General features: G+C 39.2%; 2 long non-coding RNA genes across 2 annotated transcripts in view; one reads left to right on the top strand and one right to left on the bottom strand.

Annotated features, from left to right (window-relative positions):
- The window catches only part of LOC105370655 (uncharacterized), a 102,277-nt gene that overhangs the window by 4,380 nt on the left and 75,583 nt on the right, over nt 1–22,314 (top strand). The window lies entirely within an intron of this gene.
- Nucleotides 1–22,314, bottom strand: part of LINC02295 (long intergenic non-protein coding RNA 2295) — a 30,747-nt gene that overhangs the window by 4,949 nt on the left and 3,484 nt on the right. The gene's annotated exons all lie outside the window — the stretch shown is intronic.

Genomic DNA, 22,314 nt, shown 5'->3' with positions numbered 1-22,314 from the left:
GCAGTGAAATGACATGCAAAAGTGGAATGTGCTTTCACAATACAGAATACAATAAAAATACTTTTCTTAAATAATACATGACAGTCAAATTCATCTCTTTAGAAACATCCAATCCAACATAAAGATACCCCCTTTCAGCACTAAGAGCTACAGCCCTTCTTGTCCTCGGAAGCAAACAAATGAAACTCCACGTTTCACAGGGATGGCAAATCAAGTTGAAACCTGTTGTTACAGCCCTGCAGAAAATGCAGATCCGTAAGATTTCATGCCAGACGCTTGGTGCCAGACATCTTGCAATAAGGAGGGGAGGAAGAGGGGGACAAGAAAATAGGCTAAATGGAAAGACAGAATGGGAGAAAGTAAAACTGTACTTCTTGCCATCCTGACTGCATTCTTCTCTGGCACACTGGTGGTACTGATACCTGCTGAGACAAAATTCCAGGGGGAGAAACTGCACCACAAGCCCTGAGAGGTGGAAGGGATTTGTGTGTTAGGATTGGCTGGGCGCAAAGGGGCCTTTCGGATCACTTTGCGTATGACGGTATTCTCCAGCTCCATAGAGTGATGGGGGCATCAGCTTCTGAGAAAAAGAAAAAGGGATGACCAAATCAGTGTGTGATAGAAAGTTGTGTTTGTATTTGCACAGCATACATCTGGCATGTTTTCTATTCACGTTTCATCCTGCCCGGTCTCATGGTCTCAGAGGAAATTGCCCAAAGCCTCTCCTGTCTCTGTTCAGCCCAGTGTTTCTACTTTTGTCTTAAAACAAATGGCCAAATAAACAAACGATTTGTTTTTCGTAGACTACTGTTCTTCGGAGCTTCCATATTGTCCTGTTAAAATTTACTTCTTAAAAAATTGAAACCCTGCTTGGCTTGGAAAGCTGGTTGAGTAAAGACATTTTGGTCCAAAAAATAAACAAGGTGAAAGGTTTTAGAAGACAGACAAAACAGACAGCTGGATTTTTATAGTACATACAATAGGTTTTATTGGTTATGTTAGAAAGAAAGGAGAGAAAGAAAGGAAAGAAGGAAGGAAAAGAAAAAAAAAGGCAATGAAATAAATTCCTCATTTGATTTTGCACCCCCTTTCCAAATTTCTGACAAGAATTTTCAATCCAAAATCTATTATAAAAAACCTTTTCCAGCTGGGAGCAGTGGCTCATGCTTGTAATTCCAGCACTTTGGGAGGCTGAGGCGGGCGGATCACGAGGTCGGGGGTTCGAGACCAGCCTCACCAACATGGTGAAACTCCATCTGTACTAAAAATACAAAAATTAGCTGGGCGTGATGGCGCATGCCTGTAATCCCAGCTACTCAGTAGGCTGACGCAGGAGAATCACTTGAACCTAGGAGGCAGAGGTTGCAGTGAGCCGAGATCGCACCACCGAACTCCAGCCTGGCAACAGAGCGAAACTCTGTCCCTCCCCGCAACCCCCCCGCCCCCATAAAAAAACCTTTTCCCATTCTGTCCTTCAAGAAGGAGCAATGAACTGATGCCAGGGGGTTTGTATCAGCTCTGCTCCACTTCTGAGATGTGACTGCAGGTTAGCCATTTGATTGACCAAAACCTCAACATGCTTGCCTATAAACTGGGCACAAGATGGGCACTATAGGATTCATGGCAGAATCACATGACAGATGTTTGTAAGTGGGATCTGTAAACCATAAAGCGCCCTACAGTTATGTTCTAATAATTATCCTAAATAATTATCCTAGTGTCAGTGTTGATAAAGGAGACAATGTCTAACTTGCTGCTTTCCAGGTTAATTCAGGGTGCATTTACAAATGTATAGAACTACATCGTGATCAAAATAGGCTTGAACAATTTTAGTTCAGCAATAAAGCATTCGTTATTTCTCATTGGTAAAATATAGCTCCTATGATATGCCCATTCTCACTTTCCCTTTACCTGTGCACAGGATGGAGAAGCTACTTCTATTCTAAGGAGATTAAACAATAGTTTAGTTAGCTTTGTCCTGCTTTTGTTTAGAGGTAGACTGTATCATGGAAATGCTAATCATTGTTGGTGATATTTTTACTCCTCTCCCTGCTTTCTGTCATTTTAGATACTGAGCAGGTAGCAATAGGTTGAGTATTAAACTAAAATCATAGAGAGGAAGATAGTGAGGTTGTGTTTTGAAAAAAAATGTGAAACCAAGTCATTTTGAGTTGATTAGGGCCCAATTCTTACTTTAAGAATTGAGCAAGTCTCCTAAATTTCCTCCACTCTGAACTGAGTACTGGGCTGAAGATGAATCCTAAGGTCTTTTGCTTTTTTTCAGATCTTAGGACATAAGTCTTATATACTATGAAAAACAAAATCAGGAGAATGACCTAGCACTCATTTTCATTACTGTTTCTAGTTATTAAGAAATCAAATCTTGAGGCTTTCACAAAGTATAAATCCAATGACTTTTTTAGAAGTAGAATCAATAGCTAAGCATTGACTTGATGTATGTATGTATCAGTAATCTCTGCTTCAGTTTAGTTTTGCTTTTATTTTAAAAGTAACAAATGCAAAAAATTTAGAACAAAATCTGGAGACTTGGTGTAAATCCTCCTAACATTTTAGAAATGTGTAGCTTGCCTATTTCTGCTGATTTACACCAATGGCTTCACACTGCAGGCACTGTCATATAGCCATTTTCACTTCTTAGAACATGATTTTTTTTTCTTCTCCACATCATGAAATACACTGCAGCAACACAATATTTAGTTATATATTTTCTATCTTCCCAATTAGAACATAAACTCTAGGAGTGCAGAGATTCCTCGCCTTGTGTATTGCCGTGTCCTGATTTAGAACAGTGCCTGGAATACGGTAGGCCCTAAGTAAATATTTTGCGAAAACAGACCTACAGTATTCCATCACATGCACACAACACCACTTGTTAGATCTTCCTGCACTATAACTGGATGTCCATGAGCATGAGACCCAGTCTATTTTGCTCTCTGCACTGTGTCAGCCCTTGGATCATGGCCTGATCCTGGGCAAGTGCTCAGTGAAACTGCTCCGTGAATGGTGAATGAACACCATCTCCCAGCATGAGACTCTACCACTTGCAAGATTTTGCTGCTATAAACAACAATGTGGTGAACATCTTTGTCATTAAATATTTGCTAACATCCCTTAATTTTTTAAGAGTAAACTCCAGGGAAGTATAATTTTTGGGTCAATGGGTGGGTATATGTTTAAGCTTTTGATGCAGATTGGAAATTTTCTTCCCAAAAAGTTTTTTTTTTCTTTTCTATTTTTTAAAAATCAATTTACACTTCCACCAGCAGTATAGAAAATATCTCTTTTCCTGAAGCCTCAGCACCAGCGATGGCAGTTTTCAAAACCTTATGAACTTGATAGATAAAAAAACCATAATTCCTCAATGCCATTTTTCATTTCCTTGACTATAAGGAGATTTAACATTTTTATATATTATTTCTGTGTTTCTTTCTTTCTTTTGTGTTTTGTTTTGTTTTGTTGTTGTTGTTGTTGTTGAGATGGAGTCTTGCTCTGTCACCCAGGCTGGAGTGCAGTGGTGCAATCTTGGCTCACTGCAACTTCCACCTCCTGGGTTCAAGTGATTCTCCTGCCTCAGCCTCCCGAGTAGCTGGGATTACAGGTGTGCGCCACCACACCCAGCTAATTTTTGTATTTTTTTTTAGTAGAGGTGGGGCTTCACCTTGTTGGCCAGGCTGGTCTCAAACTCCTGACCTCAGGTGATCTCCCGCCTTGGCCTCTCAAAGTACTCTGGGATTACAGGCATGAGCCACCATGCCCGGCCTCAGTGTTTGTTTCTTTATTTGTTGATTTTTATTTGATTTTTTTCTTGTTAAATAAATTCAAATACATGAAACTTTTAGGGCAGTGCTTGTAATGTAGTAAACATTATATACTGTTATTAAAATTCCTATTTTATTATCTTTTCCTTTTAATCAGTTTGTTAGAACTTACATATTATGTATCATATAAACACATTTACGCATTATTATTTGACACATACATTAAAAATATTCTGTCTATTTAGTTTATTTATTTGATAAATATTTCATTTTCGTACTGTCACACTTACCCATCTTTTTGTTTTTTGCCTTCTGCCTTTGCCGTTAGCTTATTTTTTGAACCATTTAATATACTTTTCAGACTCATGCAATATTTACAGGAGGAATCAAGTTTAGGAAAAAAAAAGTAGGTTAAATTATATTATTAAATATAATCCCATTTTGTTTATGCTTTACAATTTTCAAAGCAGTTTAATATATATTTCTCTTGAGTGTTCCAATAATCCTTGCTGTGGTGGATGATGTTAATACACCCATTTTTACAGATGAGGTTATCTGAGATGTGGGTACAAAGGGAACACCTATAAATTCAGCAAGGGAGCAAGGACTGGTACGTATTCTGAATTTATTTTCAGGATTCTATGAATTTTGGCTTTTTCTTCAAAAACTTGAGGAAAATGATGATGATGATGACGATGATGAGGACAACGACGATGACTAATTCTAAGTCTGATGTCGGCATTTTGGTGATCTCTGGTCACCTTACATTTCCTAAGTCCAAAGTCTACAGGCAGAGTAAGGTCATTAAGGTTTCCTGAGTGCCCCTTGTGGGCTAGGTGCTTCCATGTGCATGGTCTTAGTTCATCCCCACTGCAAACCTAGGCAGTCACAGTTGTAATTCTGGGTGTCTCTTTTCCTTTTTAATGGGCAGGAACTTCAGACTCCCAGGTGCCCCCTGTGCACCCCAGGACACAATGCTAGTAAACAATAGAGGCGTGATTCCCACCCAGACAGGGCACATACAGGACCACAGTTTCCCCCATTTACTCTGCAGCATTGAGTCTGACAACACCAGCCCCTGACTTTGAGTGGCAAATTATAGCCTGGTTGTATAATAGCTCTCCATCTTATTTATTCATTTTTTTGAATTCCTAAAAAATCATGGCAAGTAGATCAGCATGGCCCCCTGCCCCCCGCACTGTGGAAGTTTGATAATGTATGTCCTAACCGCTTAATTGATTGATTACCTCACTGCAGCTTCCTGAGGTACCGAATTTATCTCTAATAGCCAGAGTCAGGCTCTGCAGGCAACCGTGGGGGGGCCGGTGGTCCCTTGGTGTCGATTTGCTCTTAACTGGAAAGTCATTACCACTTAATACATGTAGATTGTGTTGAAAGAAAATTATGTGTAATGAAATGAGGGAAAAATTAGTGGAGTGTTATGGGCGAAAGCAGATGTTAGGGAGGAATTATGCTAGCAGAGATAATCACCTTCGTTGGTTTTGTGTGTGCTGGGGTGTTAACTGAGGGAGAGGCAGGGGGAGAGTGGAGTGAATGCATTGATCGATGCAGATTCACCCCTTAGAAGCAGCAGCAAAGAATGACACCCCCTGGACTCAGAGACTGGGCTTCCATAGCTTGTCTCAACCGTATATATGGCTCTTCCTCCCTGCGGTCTCCCACGATGCCTGGACACAAAACATCTACCTGCGGGTGCTGAGGAAGACAGCAGGGAGCATCCCAGGGAGTCCTCTTCCTAACTGAGGCCAAGTGATGAGTATCCTACTCTACTTTTTAGAACATTAGCTGAATCAGATACAAAACAAAACAAACAAAACATCCTCTCCCTCCTAAAACAAAACAAAACAAAAACCTAAGCAAACAACAAACCAACAACTAGAAAAAAGCTTAGCCTGAAAGAGGATAAGGCTGTTGAATCTTTTGGTAAATAGTCATATCTCAAATGGAGACATTTAAGTGCCTGTGCTTGTGTGAGTGATGCCAGAGAGAATAAAAACTCATTGTTTTCAGGTCTTAGGATCCTTGGGTAAAAGAGCTTGGCACACACAGCCCAAACCTCTTGCCTGATATATTTGCTGCTGAGGAAACTGAAGCTGAGAGAGAGAAAGGTCCTCACCCACAGTCGTAGACCCAGTGAGTGGAAGCAAGGCCAGCCCCTGAGTGCAGGACAGGGGGATCTTACAACCCACACTGCTTTTTCTAGGACTCCCGGGTCTGACCCACTATGAGGTGAGGCTGCAAAACAACTGGATGTTTTTAATATCCTGGCAAGCACGCAAATACTTGCATGCATCACAGAGCTATCCAAGGTATGAATTTCAGCCTCAGTTTTCAGCAGGTGGCTCCTCCCATAGTCTGCACCAGTGTTTTTAGAAACAATTGTGTTGATCGTCTTTGCGAAAGTTCCCAATGTAAGTCCCCAAGATGACTGGGAGGTAGGTTCCATCCTTTTGGTTTTCTGTAGGACTAAACAGGCTTTGTAAAACTGTAACTAGTCATCCCTAATCATGTGGGATATGGGCTCAAGGGTCAGGGATAAGCGCGTTGTGTGACCATGCCAAGTTACTAACCTCTCAAGCCAGTGTCCCATTTGTTAAAGAGGTGATGGCAGTCAGACAAAAATAATACTTAGAAAACACTGAGCACAATGCCTGGTGCATATGGTAAGTGCTCAATAGTTTATGTTCATTAAGTTCATTGTTCATATAAATAAGTGTTAGATTTTGCATAGAAGCATACTACATGCTAGTGTGTGTGTGTGTGTGTGTGTGTGTGTGTGTGTGTGTGGAGAGAGAGCATGTGTATGCAATTCTCTCTCTCTCTCTCTCTCTCTCTCTCTATATATATATATATATATGCCTGTATGTGTGCCTGTATCTGTACATGTATATATCATCTTTAAGGACTCCATGGTATGCAGTTAAATGAATATATAAATATAAATATATATATATATATATAGAGAGAGAGAGAGAGAGAGACTCTATTGGGATTAAAATACAACAAATCATTTTAAAAGGTTACTGAATTAATGCATCAAAGCCTTTCATTAATAGGCATGTTTTAATCAGTTAATCTGAGGAATGCTACAATCTGATGTTGCAGACTCCTGTTTTGTTGTTAATGTTAAGATACCCTACTATGTGAACTTGTTGAGGGTGCCTACCCTGCACATCATAAATTACTCTGTTCTGGAAATAACTGGCAGAAAACTAAATGACCAAGAGTTTAAATAAACAAAGGCATATTACCTATACTGATAGTGTCCTTGTATGAAACCTGTTTCACTGCAGAAACCGTTGCTTTGCCATCTGAACCGTCCACATAGAAATGTGGAGATTCTCCTCCATCCACTTGCAAATGTTTAAGACAAATTCACTTTGGATTTTGTTAATGGATCCCAGCATCATGGCTTCATTTAGAACCTGAAGCATCTACCAGTTATCCATGATTACCAAGGAGACTACACAGTTCACTGAGGCTATGAAGGTATGACCAGTTCCAGGATGTTTTGTTTGAGTTACAGTAATGGTCATGGTTAAGAGCAGGATTGGGCTACACCACAGAGTATGTCAGCATGATTCTTCATTTGCTAGCCATACTAGAGAAGTCATACTCAATGAGGAAAACCTGGCAAACAGAAAGAAGATGAATGAAGCACAACACACAGGCACACGCACACACGCACACACACGTGTGTGCACGCACACTCACAAACACACACACTACCAAAACTCATCCATAATCCCCTCCTCACCCAAAATGAAGCCACTGTTAAATTGTTCTTGGTATTCTTCTGTTCTTTGCCTATAGATGTGTGTATGTGTGTGTGCCAGCTCATGCGCATGTATGTGTGCCTGTATCTGTACATGTACATACCATCTTCAAGGACTTCATCGTATGCGGTTAAATGAATACGCTATAACTGATATCACCAGTCACAATCTTAGGATGCTGCCAGTATTTTGTTATAATAATCCAACATGCATATCTTTCTATAATGTATAGTATATCTCTGATTATTTTCTTAGGATAAATTACTAAAACGTAATTTCACTGCCATAGAGTAAGGTCACTTTAAAGATCTGATCAATATTGCAGTTTGTAGCTTTAGAAGGGAGTCCGGGTGGAAGGAGGCACTAAGGTATCTTAGTTCCCTCTGAAAAAATACATTTGATTCTTTGCATACTGATATCATCAAGCTCAGTGGTATAGATGCCATCATTTACCCATTAAAACTAGTTATTTATCTATCACCTTATGTTATGCACATGTCATAACCTATCTCATTTTCAAACATCACAAAAGCCAACAAACTAGGTATCAAGCCATTTTACAAAATGAAGGAATAATCTTAACTAAATGTTATTTATTGTACTTATAAATAAGAGCAAAGTGCTGTTGACTAATATTGCATATTGACTAAGGTTTACAATAATTATTGAAGAATTCCATCATGAATCTACTAATACAAATGCACAATATGTCTAACTTGCTAGATTATTTGGAGAATCCAAATAAATCATGTATGCAGAAATGCCTGGCATATAATTAAATGAATATACAATAACTTACATAGCCAATGGTATGTAAGTTTTGCTTCAATTATAACTATAATCAGTATTGTTACAATTAACTACAAATTTCATGATCCTGGTAAGGGTTTTGGACAGACCCATGTTCCAATCCTAGCTAGAAATGTGGCTTTGGTGAAGTAGCTTTATCTCTCCAGTTCTTAATTTTCTCATCTGTAAAATGAATATAAAGATACCTGCCTCGCTGGGCTTTAGTGATGAATTAATGAGAACAGTTAAGTAAAATAGCCCAGTGCTTATCCTGGCACACAGTAGGGACTCATCGTAGAAATGCAATCAGTCTTTACTTTTTAAATCCATGACTAACATCTACAGAAATTCCACTTTCAAAAGCATTAGACCCCAGATTCACAGCTGAGCAAATTTGTTAAGGGAAAGCCAACTCACTCCTCACTGGTCTCTGTGTCAATGGCTTCAAGAGGCAAGCACATTTTTTCAGAGCCCCTGAAAAACTATGATGAATGTTTCAGAGACCAAAAGATTAATTAAGTTGCTCAGTGCTGCGCCATTAAATGAAACGGCACTGTGCTAGTGGCACATTGCTGTTGTTATTTATACATACAAGAAAGCAAAACTTAGTTGATGCTTTGGGTGAGCCTGCTGTCGGTCACTCACACAGGCAGGCTGCATGTGAAGTCCAAGCTCTACCTCCCTCTCTTATTCACTTAGGGGAAGGAGCTTGCAACTTGCAACCAGCTAGGCAGGGAAGGGAAGGGCCCTGGATCTGGGTTTAGTTTTGCAGATGACTTTGCGCAAAATGTTGACAACCCCCTGTCTTCCAAGACATTATCTTTAATACCAGAACCTCAACTTTTCTTACTTCATCTGGAAACACACTTCCACATGCAAGGATTATCCATATTATCCATACATCTCACAGCAGGGACGTTAGAAGAGAAAGCCCTTGGATTAGAGGCTCTCAATATAAATTTAACCAAGAGGGTTTTCCTTGAATCTCAGCCTCCTCAGTGGTAAAAATGAGATGAAACAGACCTAAAAGATCTTTTTATGCTAACTAGAGGAAATAACAGGTGTATAATCTCAGGCATAAGGTGGGACTTCAACAAGGGTGAATCCTTCCCTTTCTGCCTCTGAAGGCAAATTTATTCCTATCGTCTTTTTTTATGTGTTTGTTTTATCTCAATGCGGTGGGAAAACTTTGCAATACATATTCAAAACCACTTAATTATTCTTCAAACTTTATTTTGTGTATAACACTTATTAGTTACATAAACAATCATGACTTTGAGGTGCCCTTATACCAAATGTGCCAGAACACCATGGTTCTTTGTCCTTATATTTTCTAATTTTTGAAAACAACACTTTTTTGTCTTTCTCTTTCTGGTTGGCCTGCTAATAACCAATTCTCTGAGTAATAACACTTTTATCAGCTACTGCAGTCTCCTATCCTTTTGAGCAAGCTTAAAAAACAAGTGATCATTATAAAATTTATTGATTCTGAACTAGAGTTTCCCATATAATTAAAGAAATTGTCTCTTGAAAAGACTGGGCTGTGCTGAGGACAGTTGAGGACTCAAATGGGCAATGCACACATAGGGGTGTTCAAGCCCTGAAGTGCGGAATCAGAATAATGACATTTAAAGTCCTTCACATTCTCAGATTGAATGACTCACAAGACCAGTTATTATACTGTAATTTATTCCAATCCTATGCCGTCAGTTGAATTTCGAATAAAGAATTCATCAGTATTTACGTGAGTGCTTAGTAAACCTCTGAGAAATATTTCATGCAAGGTGTTAGGTCACCTTGCCTATGACTGGGTTGTATCCCAACCTTTTTACCCATCCCCTCTGGTTCCCACTGGAGTGAGTGTGTGTCTTTCTGGAGCATGGGGCGATCTCCAGTAGGCTTGTCCTCAGCAGGGTGTTCCAGTTATTTTAGGTGGCCTCATAGGCCTATGTCACCTCTTTCCAGATTGCTCACACATCTGCTGTTTCTTGCAGTGTCAAACAGATAAAACCATTTCTTATGTGTGCTGTAATATAAGAAAGTTAGGCAAGCACTGCTAGATGATCCCTCAACCTACAAGAGTATCTGCTGCTAATGCCTATGGTAAGGATGCCCTTACATGGTGTATCTTCATATTCGCCTCTTCTTATAGTAAGACAAAAGGAAGGCATGACCTTCCTTGCTTGACTCTAATATCCTGGCACATCATCTAAGAAGCTCCCCTAACACACTCTTGCTTAAACCATTTGCTCTTTTGCTTCATCCAGTTTGCCAAAGCAGAAGAAGACAATGTAGGTAGATTATGGATTAGATTATATGATCTGCAGTCCAACAAGACTGTATGATTTATCATCCTGATACTTGTTAACTATGTTACCTTGGACACAGACTTTCTTCATTTCTTTAGGTCAGTTTCTTCATCTTTAAAATGGCACTATTAAAGGAAAAGATGTGTGCGTGTGTGTGTGTGTGAGGAGAAAGAGAGAGAGAAATGTAAAAAGCTAAATATTGATACAATTTAACCATTTTAGAAAGTACCATTTAATGCCTTTACTCCTTTACCAGTGAATCTAAAGACATACTCAAGTATTAAATAAGCTTTCTCTGGAAACACACTATATGCTAGAAATAAGAGATTGAAAGACAGATATCTATTTTATGACCCATTACCTTATTGATCAGTGGGGGAGAAACATAATATGTAGATAACAAAATCAATTTTGTTCTTTGTACATAAACATTTACTTCCTCTCCACTTTTGCAGTTCTGAAGAGTTTATATCCCATTTCCTTGACATTGAGGTTGATTGTATGATTTTCTTTGGCCAACAGGACGTTTAAAAAAATGTAACATTAACCTCATTTATGTAAGAGCTTTTAGAGGCAGTGAGAGTTTCAGCCAACTCCCTTATTCGTGATATCTGCCATGAACAAACAATATTCAGCAGGCAGGGGCTCTTCCTTTAACCTGGGTCCCAGTATGAGAAGACCCAGGAAGCAGATCCTCATTCCACTAGAAGATTGGAGGGGAGCCTTTGAGCACAGAGCTGCAAAGCTTCAGCCTACCTAAGGCTGGCATGTAACATGGGGTAACAAATAATTGGAAGTTATCTGTTACACAGCATCATTACAGCACAGCTGACAGATACAGATAAGAACACAATAGTTACATATTATAAGCCAGGAAGTGTAAGACTATTGAAAAGTATTTAGATCTATCCTGAGGTGACAAGGAGAATTTCTTTCTTTTTTTTTTTTTTTTTTTTTTTAAGATGCAGTTTCACTGTTGTTGCCCAGGCTGCAGTGCAATGGCACGATTTTGGCTCACTGCAACCTCCGCCTCCCAGGTTCAAGCAATTCTCCTGCCTCAGCCTCCCAAGTAGCTGGAATTACAGGCACGCACCACCACGCCCGGCTAACTTTGTACTATTAGTAGAGACAAGGTTTTGCCATATTGGCCAGGCTGGTTTCAAACCCCTGACCTCAAGTAATCCACCCATCTCGGACTCCCAAAGTGCTGGGATTACAGGCGTGAGCCAGAGCCGAGCCAGGGAATTCATAGAGAGGTAACATTGGAAGTGTGGGTCAAGAATGATGGCATGAAGAGTACATTTGTTTAAATGCTGACAATATATTTGGTGAAACATCAAATATGTTATCAATGAACAGTCCACCAGTCAGCTTGGACAAAGGGCCAACTAGAAAAGTGTGTTCAATGAATAAGTCATCTCTTGTGCATTTCTCTTGAGTTTGGGCTCTGCAATGGCACAGAGATTGAGGACATCATTCTGGCCTTGACTTGCTTTGAGTTCTTTCAGGAATTCAGACATTGGTTTGTAAATCCAGAGTTTAAGCTCAATTCAATTTTGAAGAAAACACAAAATGTGACCTCAGCATCAACATGATCCTTGTAGAATTTCCTAACACAAACTAATACCTATCTAGAAAATCACAAATGCGTACTTTTGTTGAGGTGCTTATTCTTAAACAGGTTGTTATATGCATTTGAACATGAGATACAATTATAATATTTCTTTATAATTCTAAGTCTCTAATGGTTTATGTTTATCAAGCTTGTTCAACGTAAATTTTTGAGATATATGTACAAGAAATTGAATGCTGTCTCTTTATTACTTGCTATTATATGACTTGGGGAAAATCATTTAACTTCTCAAAGACTCAGTAGTCTTATCCTAGAAACTGGGCAATTATTTCGTATGTAATGTTATTATTTTGAAAAGCAAATGAAACAACACCTGTAAAAGTACCTGATGTAAAAACAAGTACTTCTTATCCTACCTCTCTTCCTTTCTTGAAATACATATGGCGTGTGTGTATTTTGTATGCATTAAATACTGATACGTGTTCAAAACCCAGCCAAAAGTTAGAACTTAGGAAAAAAATGGGCTGGGCACGGTGACTCATGCCTGTAATCCCAGCACTTTGGGAAGCTGAGGTGGGCAGATGACTTGAAGTCAGAAGTTCTAAACCAGCCTGGCCAACATGGTGAAACCCATTTCTACTAAATATACAAAAATTAGCCAGGCATGGTGGCGAACGCCTGTAGTCCCAGCTACTCAGGATCGCTTGAGTCCAGGAGGTGAAGGTTGCAGTGGGCCAAGATCGCACCACCGCACACCAGCCTGGGTGACACAGCAAGACTTCATGTAAAAAAAAAAAAAAGACTCTATCTAGGTAATAAAGAAACATGTCTCTATTATCGGCCAATGTTTTCTTATTTGCAGTTCTCTCCTTCAAAACCTCTAACTCTGGATATAGCCCCATGCATTTCTCATAGCCTTTGTCTCATGTCAATGATGATCACTTTAAACATAAGGGTGGGTAGCATGGTGGGCAGGTTCAGTAAACAAGCTTGCCTGGAGTATGGGTACATTTCTGAAAGGCTCCTCCATAAATAAAAGATTAGAGTAGAAGGGAAGTATAGGGCCCATGATGAAGAGTGAAATCAGCTTAAGTATCTGAAATTTGCTCTGTGGTCAATGGGCATCCACTGACCATTTTTGATTTAGACTGGTATTTTCTAGTGGCTAGTAATATTATTACCAAAAAAAGACTGATATTTGATCATTTTTGTTTGGCAAAATTCTGAGATAAACAAATAATTATTTATAGCAGGAAATCACAGCGCTTTTAATAAATTAATGTCTTGATTTATTGAGTCTTGGATTTTCATGTCTCTCTCTCTCTTTTTCTCTTTCTGTCTACTTCCCTCCATGCTCTCACCTTTGTTATATAATTTTAAATAACCTTATTTAATTCTAAAAAAAACCCTATGAGGTAGTTATCACTCGTTTATATTAATTTTTTATAGATGAAGAAATTAGATTATAGGAAAGTTAAATAAATTATTGCTCAAAGTCCCAGAGTTAATAAATAATGAATCTAAGGAGAGATTTTAACCACTACAACTTTAACTGCTTTCAAAATTTTCTGTTGTTTACTTTGAAACTTAAAATTATTTTATCTTGCTTGCCATCACATAAAATTACTGCTTTGAAAACGTTCAATGTGTTTATCCTGGGATACCACTTTTGCCTGTGGTTCCCCTGGTCTCCCCAAGAATAGGCACAAACCAGACTAAGAAACATGAGTGCTAAATGTGACTGAGATGGAACATGTCTCACTGTGGCAAGTATTTGGACCAAACTGAATGTAATTCCTTATGGAGACTCGAGTGACAGAGTCCACCTGCTACAACTGGCCAACTGTATCATAAATCCAACCATTTAATTTTTTAAAAAATGCAATTGGATGGTGACAGCCGCCACGACATTTTCTTGCAGAAGGCTTCTGATGAAAGAATTTTATCTTCTTTGCCTTGTCCATACCAAGCTCCTTATAAAGAAAGCAAGTAGACCTAATATTCAGAATTGAATCATGTGGCGTTTTTAACCAAGCACCAGATTTGTTTTAATGATTCTCTTAACAGTGATTCATCCAGGATTCTCGCCTGTGTCCCTTTTGTGCCCGAGTACAGATGTGCATCTAGAACACATTTAGTTCTATGATTTCAAAGAGTGGACGCCCACTTTATGCATATGATTAATTCTACATGCAGCTAATTATACCCACAATTGGCTAATTGTCGGTGCAATTAGCCAATTGCAGGCCCAATTGGCCACTTGTCCCATAATTTGAAGGTGCAAGTGGACAACTGAAGGAACAATTAGAGGCATGCAGAGTTTTACATATTTAAAGAGGAGGCTGGGGGAGGAAAAGCGGCTGAAAATGTGGTCCTGAATGCAAAATTAAAAAATCCATATGTATAGGTCTTTGAGAAAGAAAGTTATTGTTCACTGGACTTTTTATTCTCATGCAATTTTCAAAGTCAATATTTTTTTCCTAAAAACTTATAAAACAAACAAACAGATTTTTGAGACTGACACAGCTGAAGCCAAACTTTAGATCAGTAAGAACTAACTCCTCCATCTCAAAGCCTGTGCATTTTAAGGGTTACTAGTAAAACGAACGTCTCTCGGAGGAAAATTGCAAATGTTACCAAGCTTTTGGCCAAATCCTTTTGACTTTTCTCATTTCTTCTCTAATTATTCTTAATTTTCTTCAATAAGAATTTTTTTTTCCAGTAGCTACACAATCCGGGAGACGTAGAAGAAATGACTGCTTTCACTCACAGCTTTATTTATCTGGCCACCTTCAGAGATTATGATATTGTTAGAAATTATTTGCTCCAGTACAACTACCTAATTTCAAAGCCCCAAACCTATAAATACTCTCCCTTCTGTGCATGCCTCCTCCTCAGGTGTCTCACCGCAGGACACCCAGATCCAGAAGGAGCCAAAAATAGCCAGAAATGGTGGAAAAGTGGCACATTGTAGGCACTTAGTAAACAGTGATTGAGGACGACTGCCACTCATTAGGGGTTTAGGGCTGAAAAAGAAGTTTGGAATCATCTCCCATAGCATGGATTCGGTGGCTGCTAATGTCCTTGTGAGTTAAAATAAAACAAGATTGCTATGATTCCCCTCATATCTGCAGTTGATATTTTCAGACCTTAATCTGACATAAATTGGTCACACACTCAGAAGCAAACCCAGCAGACTTTCAGATATCAGAAATACCTGCTACAAATAAATGCATGAAAGCCCTGCAAGAGATCCCACTGCCCTCAAGTTCCCCAAATTTTGTGATCTATTAAACATGAGTCTCAAGGAGTTTTCTGAGAGCAAATAATGTTATGGTCAAACATGGATGGAAACACAGGAAAAAAATAAAAAGGTCAGTAATAAAAACAAAAACAGAGACTGTGTAAGTCACATTTTAACCCAGTATATTTCACATGTAATTATCCAAGGAATCCTAACAAAATAACTAATACTATGCCACAGAATTAAAAGAGACACATGTTGGGAAATACAACTAGGTATGTTTTAGAGCTAAATCGATAAGTTAATACACACTTTTACCAAACTTGATTATCTGGTTTTCAGCTCACAGGAAAATTTTTAAATAGGTCACTTCGGGGGCTCAAGAGTGAGACTACATAAAGGGACTCTGACATAAAAATTAATTTGAAATTTGTATCACAACGCTATTCACTGGAGGGGAATAATTCATCTTTCTGGGCCTCAGTTTCCTCACTTGTATAATAAAAGCATTGAATCTGATGGACACCAAAGTTCTTCCGGTCCTGGCATCCTGTGATACTCAGTGGTTGTGCCAAATAGTGCTTTACTTGATGAACATGTCTCTCCTCTCTCTACTCAAACTCCAGGGCTTGCTACCCCAGTGGTCGAAAGGTGGAATTCCTAATTCCAAATTTTCTGCATGTTAGTTTATTATCTGGGATAAGTCTCTTAACTTTTCAAACCTCAATTTCCCCAAAGAGAAACTAAGGATAATAATATCTCCAAAGAAGTCTCAGTGAGCTGAAGAAATGTGAAAGCCATTTGAAAAGTATGAAGCACTCCCTATTACTGTTTCTGTTTTTATTAAATAGGATACTAGCCATTTATAATAACTAGTAGTTATATTAATGACCTTAACACAGATTCAATTATTATTAACATTAATTGCCTTATAACTACTACTAATATGCTAATTGTGATAATGAACCGATGCCGTGCTTGATGCATTTCAGCAGCAGATTTTGTTCTGCTAAACTTGGGGTTTTGCTTGGAGGGGAGAAGAGCAGTGCTGGCCTTCGGGCCGTGCCAGGAAAATGTGTGGGCCAGATGGCAATCCAAGTTGGTCTGATAGAACATTTCTATTTCTGTGGATTCTCAAAAATGAACTGACAGGCACGAAGCAAAGTGGTGACTCATAGCCTTCAGGTCCCTGAGTTACAGCTTCTGAGCTGCAATTTCCTATTGTCCTGGCAAACTCATTTATGGGAAGATTCAATCTAGAACCTTCTATCTCCATTGCCATCATTGTCATCATTACAGTCATCACAACCACTCTTTACCAAGCACCTACTGTGTGCATAAGAGTATTATATATTATGGTCTATTAAAAAAGACTACGTTGGCTAGGCACAGTGGCTCATGCCTGTAATTCCAGCACTTTGGGAGGCCGAGGTGGGTGGATCACGAGGTCAAGAGGTTGAGACCATTCTGGCCAATATAGTGAAACCCCGTCTCTACTAAAAATTAAAAAAAAAAAATAGCTGGGTGTGGTGGTGTGTGTCTGTAGTCCCAGCTATTCAGGAGGCTGAGGCAGGAGAATCACTTGAACCCGGGAGGTGGAGGTTGCAGTGAGCCGAGATCCTGCCACTGCACTCCGGCCTGGTAACAGAGTGAGACTCTGTCTCAAAAAAAAAAAAAAAAAAAAAAAGTCTATGTTAATCTCTGTAATGACCTCATAATGTATACATTCCTATCTCCATTTATTCTTCAGCTGAGGATACTCTGGGTCAAATAAGCAACTTGCCCGCCAGGGCAGAGATGCTGATGGGTGGAGTTGAGATCTGAATCCCAGAAGTCTACTTTTTTTCTTCTATATGATACTATCTTTCCAATTGACAGCATCCTGAAGATTGCAATCCTCCTGCAGGCAGCCACTGTCTTGTGTGTGAGTGTGTGTGCACATGGGCATACACATATGTGTATTGTATATTTTAATTCCACTTAGCAGAGGGACTATAAACTGGCCTGGCACAGAATGTCCAATGCATAAATGCTTGCTGGCTTGAATTTACAAGTCTAAGAGATGGTCCACCATGATTTTTTTTTTACCTTCATAAACTGATAAAATATTAATGCTAGTCCCATATTCTCATTCTACAGATGTAGCTACAAGGACTTGAACACAACAGTCATTGGCAGAACTAAGCTCAGAATCTAAACCTGACTCCCAAGTGGCCACTCAACATACCACATCTCATGGGAAAGGAGAAGTCCATTTGTTCTTAGTCACAGTTTCTCTGTAGTCTTCTCTAGTTGCTGACCATCAAATGATGATTTTATGAAAGGAAGACATATCTAGATACTACAAACATCTTTTTCATTATTGTCAAGAACACGTGGAAAAGGGTAGAAGTCTGAGTTTCTCAACTTGTCTTTGGGTATGAGACTGGACTGCAGTGAGAATCACTTCTACAATAGGAGTCCTTAGAGACTTGGGGGCTTTGGATAGGCTTCAGCTGGGATGGTCATCCAATCCCCAGCCTCAAAGAAACATCACCCTACACCATCAGAGCAGAGGGGATGGACACTCAGTACAGTCATTTTAGTAGTGAGATAGTAAAATACTATTTTGTATCATATTCTTGCAAGGATTGACTTTTTTAGACACACACTGAGTTGTCTTTACCAAATGAACATTCCATTTACAAAAAGTATTATCAAATTAATAGCATAACAAGTTTTCAGGGGAGGTTTATTAGAGTCAAATATTTTAAAAGCTGTCATTTAAACAGAAGTAGTTGTTAAATTGAGGAGATAATTAGGTACCTGAAATTAATCAAAGTATGTTTTTAAAAATAAACTCTATATTTGACTCATTGCAAATATATTTCAGTCTTGTCCAAATTCTCTGTAATATATTTGAAATTGGCAATTTTGCAAGCAAATCTGCAAATAGCCTTTGGCCATTAAAATCTTGCTCTGCCCTTACCGTGGTGGATTCCACAAAAAAACACCCCAAATTAAAATTTAAGCTATAAGATACGTGGAGTCTACAGACATTGACATATAATTTATAAAGCTGATAATGCTGGATTGAATGCCTTTATACTCAATTTCCTATTACTTTCCTCTTTCTCCCTGTATTTTTTTCTCTCTCTCTTTTTTGAATTGCCTTTAATACTATGATCATGCCAGCTTAGTGGCCTAGATGAACTTATAAGACAGAATAACTAGATCGGTGACATGCCACCAGTAGGAAAACTGGAGTGAGTTGAGATTCATTTATTCAAAAAAATATTTTTTGAGCACCTGTAACATGGTAGGTTAGGGGATGGGGCAGTGAGCAAAGACACTGTATTGAAAAGAGGGAGAAAGTAATGGTATATAGCAAAACAAACAAGCAAACAAAACCCCAAATGAAATAGATGATATATCAGGTGGGAATAAGTCCTATAAAGCACAGAGCAGGGTAAAAGGATAAGGAGTGATGCGGGGAGCGGGAGGAGCCTGCTTGGGAGGTAAAAGTGAAAGAGATAATTCCTCCCTTGCATGGATGAATATTTTTGTGCTGTGCACTCTTTGGCACTTGTATTTCTGTTTCATTTTTAATTTTTAAATACAATTTCAGCTTTGTAAGAGCTGAGGTGATGAATGAAATACAGGTTTCTGCTGTATTTCATTCTATGGCAGACAATTCTATGGCAAAGGCAGAATGTCAGGTTTTTGTGCAAACAAGAGAGATAGCAGCAGTTCTTACTGACATTGAGCCAGCTAGACTCAGTGATCACTGTCTCCCGTCACCCCTAACCTGGAGGAAATCAGACCCCATCCAATATAGAGAGCATTAATTATGGAGAATATTAAGATCCATCCTTTCTTCATCATCTCAGCTACTTGAATGCATATTTTCACAACCCCATTGGTAAAATGGGCTCTGCCTAAATTACGGCTTAGAGTTATTTTTCTCTCTTGGCAGAGTAACCACTTTACAAATTCTTTTTGTTTTTGCTTTTGTTTTTGAGGCAGGGTCTTGCTCTGTCACCCAGGCTGGAGTGCAGTCGTACTATCAGGGCTCACTGCAGCCTTGGCCTCCTGGGCTTAAGTGATCCTCCCAACTCAACCCCCATGAGTAGCTGGGACTACAGGCATGTGCCACCATGCCTGGCTAATTTTTTGTAGAGATGGGTTTTGCTATGTTTCTCAGGCTGGTCTTGAACTCCTGAGGTCAAGAGATCCTCCCTCTTCCCTCCCAAAGTGCTAGGATTACAGGCATAACTCAGTATGCCTGAGCTTACGAATTTTTTATTCTCCTCTTTTCTCAGCCTTTATAGAGCTTGCTGCTTCTATTCAAATGGCTTTCTCCTGTGTTCATAATTTCAACGAAGTATGATTTGATGTTAGTGCCATGAGGAGGAATAGGAAAAAAAAAAAAAAAAAAAAAACATGGCCCCAATGTTGTGCCAAGACCTGGGCTAGGTGTTTTGCCAACTTTTGTTGTATTAGTTAACCCACATTAACAACCACAGAAGTTAAAGAATACCTCTTTGTTCAATAATATTCCCAAGGTCACAGAGATGATGAACAGAGAGGATTCACTCTAGAGCCCCTAGAGTACGCTTGGCCTTTTAGTCCAGGGCTTCTTAAATAAAGCTGTACATCTGTAATACTTTGGGCTGGTTTGTTAAACAATGCAGATTCTGAGGCTCCAGGTCCAGAAGAATCTGGTAGTCTGAATCCCTAGGTGAGCCTGGGATTCTATAAAGTTAAAAAACCGCATTCCTCCTTAGTGATTCCTAAGATCCATCAAGTTTGGGAAATTTTGGTTCATGAAATATGAAGCCTAGAAGGAAAAGATGCGCAAGACATATCTGGGGCTAGATCTCACATTCCTGATCAGGGTATTTAATATGAAAACTGAAACTGCTCCCCATTTCTGCCTGACCCAGCTTTACTTTTATTTTTTCCATAGCACACTGTCTTCTGACATGTTGTGCTGTGGCTTGCTGTTTAGTCTGACTCCCCAGTTACAACGTAGGTTCCACCGTTGCAAGCATCTTTGCCTTCATGTGTTTCCCTGCTATCCCAAGCACCAAGAACCAGGTCTGGCTCATGGTGGGACCTCAACAAATTATTGTTAAATTAATTAGGATCTTCCTTGACTTTCAGTTTGAGCTATTTCCACGGGGCACAGCTACCACTTCCCTCTTCCGACAAGAGTCCCTTTAGCTCTCCAGAATTAGATTTCAGTGGCTGCATCTCCCTTGTTGTCAGCAGCAGTCTAATGGTTGTGGTAAGCAATCTCCATTTCCTTGCAAAAAAGCAGAAAGTATGGGGCTTAGAGATATTGGTGCATGGGGCGCCTACTCCTCTGTCTCAGCTCCCAAAGCCTTGGTGCTCATGTCTATTACTGGGTGATGATGCCCGTTGTGCTGAGGTCTCTCCCTACTTTGCTAGAATCTGAACACATGGAAATAAAGGGCATTGACGACTATTGGTGAGAGATGCTAACGGAGATGCTGGCAGTAGGCTAAGGCCAAAAGATAGCACTGCTTTATAGTCTCACAGACGTGACTTGAATCACATAGATGTCATATACCACCTGTATGATCCTGAACAAGTCTCTTTACCCCACTAAGCTTCACTTTCCTCTGTTGTCAAAAGAAAATGAGTCTCTACCTCATAGAGCTATTTAAAAGGCTAAAGTAAAATAAGGTCCATAGAACTGGCAAATAAGTCAAAATAATCATTTTTGCATTCTGTGGACCACGAAAAGATAGTGAAATGATGAAAAAAATCATATATCTTTATGTGCATAAATGTATACATAATTTAGAATTTTATATGTGCATATAATTTAAAAGTGAACTCTGATGATTTAATTGAAAAAGGGGAGATAAAATTCAATTGTAGGTGGTCTATGGCTTGAAGCTACATCTCTGGGTCTTAAGGCATTTCCCAACACACAGTAAATATTCAACAAAGGTGTGTTGAATAGTCAGCAAAAGTCCTCATCCTAGGCCCAATACAAGTGAGAGCAGTGGACACAACATAAAGTCAAGAGTGAGCAAATGCAAGAGGTTCAGGATAAGCTGAACCTGTCATATAAGCTAGAGTCCTATGTCCCAATGCAAAGATTAGAAATAGCCTCCCTTGCCCAGATCCAGTATAACCAGTACACGGCAATTAAAAGATAAAACCAGTGTCACCTTGGGTAGCATCAGTATAGACTGCTATCAGGAGGACCTCCAATAGTATTACCAGCTGCAATAAAAAAGCACTTCTTTGAATGCTTTTTCTACCTAATTGTCAAAACCGAATAATATTATCAGCTTTTTTATCCTTTGAGTATTTTTCTAATAAGAAAGCACGGAGATGCATTGCAAATAAAAGCAGAAGATTTGAGGATGCAAAGCAATCATGCAAAATGACTTTCATATCAGTTTGATAAGCAGCTGAAATTTAATAACTACATCTCTCCTATGGTGCTGGATGAAAGTTTAATACTTTCTGCTTTGGCTTCTTTCTTCTGCAAGATGCTTATTCAGAACTGTAGCTTCTCTTTTATAGTCAGGAAAATGAGAGGTGCAGTGGATTAATCAAAGCCTTGAGAGGCTGGGCCCAGCCCCAGCCCAGTCCAAACCACAGTGTCTGAGAATCTAAACCAAGTCAAGCCCAAGGCTGTCCATGACCACTGGGGAAACAGGTAAAGATTTCCAAATATCTCAAAATACAGGTAAGACGTCAGTCACTGTGGAAATCACACACCTATTTAAAGCTATGAAATAAGTTTAACTCTCCAAATTATCGTTATTCTTTCTTTGGTTGAGGGTAAATTGTACAACAA

This window comes from Homo sapiens, chromosome 14 (genome assembly GCF_000001405.40).
Source record: "Homo sapiens chromosome 14, GRCh38.p14 Primary Assembly".
In the NCBI taxonomy this organism is placed as follows: Eukaryota; Metazoa; Chordata; class Mammalia; order Primates; family Hominidae; genus Homo; species Homo sapiens.
The sequence above is the reverse complement of the archived record's forward strand: the minus strand, read 5'-3'. Positions and strand labels throughout refer to the sequence as shown.